The sequence below is a fragment of the Homo sapiens genome, chromosome 22 (assembly GCF_000001405.40).
Source record: "Homo sapiens chromosome 22, GRCh38.p14 Primary Assembly".
NCBI lineage: Eukaryota > Metazoa > Chordata > Mammalia > Primates > Hominidae > Homo > Homo sapiens.
The window spans coordinates 33,721,816-33,724,985 of record NC_000022.11 but is presented as its reverse complement, the minus strand read 5'-3'; the positions used below and the strand labels follow the sequence as shown (position 1 = coordinate 33,724,985).

At 47.9% G+C, this 3,170-nt stretch overlaps 1 protein-coding gene across 22 annotated transcripts in view, besides 1 other annotated feature; it reads left to right on the top strand.

Moving 5' to 3' along the window:
* LARGE1 (LARGE xylosyl- and glucuronyltransferase 1) overlaps window positions 1-3,170 on the top strand; it is an 856,162-nt gene that overhangs the window by 197,839 nt on the left and 655,153 nt on the right. The gene's annotated exons all lie outside the window — the stretch shown is intronic.
* Window positions 2,174-2,702: an enhancer, noted in NCBI's record as "H3K27ac-H3K4me1 hESC enhancer chr22:34118270-34118798 (GRCh37/hg19 assembly coordinates)". NCBI's record gives its function as "activates a minimal SCP1, AML or CMV promoter by ChIP-STARR-seq in naive H9 embryonic stem cells {active_cell/tissue: H9 hESC(naive)}" and the evidence as "EXISTENCE:reporter gene assay evidence [ECO:0000049][PMID:30033119]".

Below are 3,170 nucleotides of genomic sequence, written 5' to 3'. Positions count from 1 at the left end.
ACCTTGTGAGAGAGGGCCCTTTATGAAGTCAGAATCAGAACCCTCCTCCTCCCACCCCACCTTTCCTTCCTTTATTTCCTTCACAACTCTGATCACTGCCTGATGCCTCCACTGTATTTGCTGGCTGTTGAGACTGTCTCTTTTCTATGTTCTCCCGCTGGACTGTAAACTCCCTGAGGGCAGGTGATTGGTTGGTCATGTTCAGTACACTTAGAAGTGCCCAGCTTGTCCCAGACACTCAGTAATAATTGCCGAATGAATGAATGGATGAATAAATGAATGAGCCAAGGGAGAAGAAGTTACCATGACTGTTACAAAGTTGATAAATGCATGCAGAGCCTTTGTTCACCATTTTCTGGGAGGAATGGGTCTCCCGTACCATAGCCTGTGGGCATGGCTGGGTGGAGTTTGGTCTACATTATATCAACTCTTCCCTTCTCTATCTGGAGATAATTCTCTCCTGGGTAATGAGCCTACTGGAGCATACAGATGAGGGCACGAAGGTGACCCTTATAGAACTGTGGCTGAGAGCCAGGGATTCCCACTTCCACCTCCACCCCCATAGCATCATCAGTCTAGTCAAGAAAGACCCGTGGTCTTTGTATTATGGGACTTAGTCCTTCATTGTCCCTGTGGCTCTGCTTTTCACCCCTGTCTCATGCTCTCCTCCTTCACCCTTCCCATCTGATGTGTGCTGAATTGTTAGGAGAACAGCAAAAATGCATTCCTTTGCTGACACTTCTCTACCTGTGGTTGTCTTCCACTCTGCGTCATGTGCCGTATCCGCCTGTCACCCCGGCACACTGTCAGCCACGCAGCCTCTCGTTCCCTGTGTTTCCTTGCACACTCGTGCTCTGCTGGCCTCTGTCACTCTCACTGGGCGTCCTGCCTGCCTTCCCACCCCCTGCACGTGTCCCTGTTGGCACTTCCCTATTCACACTCTCCTCTCCACCAAGCTTCCTTTGACGCTTCCTCTTTCAAGCTGTGCAGCCTTCTTCAGCTGACAGTTCAGCATCGTTCCATTTCTGAAGCAGGGAATTGGTTTGGTGGGCACTAGCTCCAAGTTTGCCTTTGTGGTATTTCTAGCCTCCTTCATTCTCTTTCCTGTTTTGGCTGCAACCAAAGGCTGGGCTCAGTGATGAATCGCAATTGGGTTTGGTGGCCCAGCCGGGCCCTTCTCAGGTTAAGGGTGGTATAGGGAGTTGTGTGAATGAATGAGGTCCCGCAGAGAGACCATCACACATGGGTAGAGGGGGAAAAAAGGGGGGCTCAGAATGCCTGTGTGGATGGCAGTCTCCTGAAATACAGGAGTTTTTCTCTCTAAGGTACACCACAAATTTTATCTTCCAACATTTCTTAGTCATTTTCCAAATTCCATGTCCCTTTTCCCTTGATTTGTTGATTAACTTCATATGAGCCTTACCCAAATCCGCCTGATATCAGTGTGTGTGTCTGTGTGTAAGGTTTTTGGAATCAGCAAGCACCTTTTTCATTCTTGTTTCCACTCATCACCTTACAGTACCTCACTGGACACAATGGATTTCCAAAGCATCTGTAGACATGAGCTGATTCTAGAATTTCTTTGTACATCACCCACATCCTGGAGCTGTTTCTTGGGAGAAAGAAAGATGGCATGCCTCCCTTTGCCCCTGGACCCTGAAGGCTGTGCTCTTTACACCGTGAACCTAAATCTGGGCTTGGTCTGCAGCCAACCTGGAAATTCACTACTGCAACTCCGTTTTCTTTTTAACGAGAGCTTCATACGGTTCTTTTAAACTAGAAACTTCTCTTTCTTGTAATTGTCTCTAATGGCTTCCTTGTTCGAACAAGCCTTTGCTAGCTTCTGTCTGACCCCTTTGGCTTTGCTTTCTGCCTCCTTTTATCCTCCAGCCTTTCGTATAGATTCCAGAGGAATCTTCCTCAAAGGCTGTGCCACTCCCTGTTCAAAGGCTTTCTGTGGCTCCTCATTGCCTAGAAAGCAAGTGAGTAAGGCCAGATATTGTTAGTGGCTCACTTACCGCATTCCAGGATCTTGCTCTAATTTCCCTTTACAACGTCATCAAAACAGCTCACCCCCAAGCTCCGACCTCAACTCCCACTTGCGACCCCAATCAGCAGCCTACCCATGCTGCGGCCTCGATGGTTCCCTGAATGCACGTGTTCCTTTTCTGTCTCTGTGTTGTTAACTCATGCAGGGTCCACCCCCTTCTTCCTAGACCTACCTCACCTTTTTTGTAGAGTCCCTCTTCACTGTTTCTTCCATTCTGTCTTATCAGGATTATTTTTCTGTCTTTGGTCTTGCCATTATACTTCCCTCCATTGGGTGACTTACTATAACGTGCCTTCTGCTGTGACTCTGTTGGATGTTTTTGAGTGTTCATTCAATTCTAAGGGCAGGAATGATGTATTTCCCCCATAATGTGCAGCTCGGTTCCATGCACATCATAGGTGCTCAACACGTTTTCATTCACTTGAAGGACTTTTACCGTTGTATTTGTCACAATATTTGTTACTGTTATTTTTGTCATCACCACATCATTGACCTTAGTATCTTCCTAATGACTTATAATTGACAAAGTAATTCCCTCCCTTCTTTCCTTCCTTTCCTTCCTTTCCTTTCTTCTCTCTCCCTCTCCCTCCTCTCCTCTCCCTCTCCCTCCTCTCCCTCTCCCTCCTCTCCCTCTCCCTCCTCTCCCTCTCCCTCCTCTCCCTCTCCCTCCTCTCCCTCTCCCTCTTCCTCCCTTCCTTTCTCCCTCCCAGGCTAGAGGGCAGTGGCGTGATCTCGGCTCATTGCAACCTCCGCCTCCCAGGTTCAAGCGATTCTCCTGCCTCAGAGTCCCGAGTAGCTGAGATTACAGATGCCCACCACCACGCCCGGCTAATTTTTTGTATTTTTAGTAGAGACGGGGTTTCACCATGTTGGCCAGGCTGGTCTTGAACTCCTGACCTCAGGTGATCCAACCGCCTTGACCTCCCAAACTGCTGGGATTACAGGCGTGAGCCACTGCGCTCAGCCAACAAAGTAATTTTTTACCCAAGGATCTCCATTGTGGCTGTGACTGCTGCCTATAAAACAATATACCAAAGACAAAAATAAAGACAAAAACAAAAATAAAGAGTACAAAACAGTATGGGGGTTGTACATAAGGCTTTTGTGTTCCTGCTTGTAC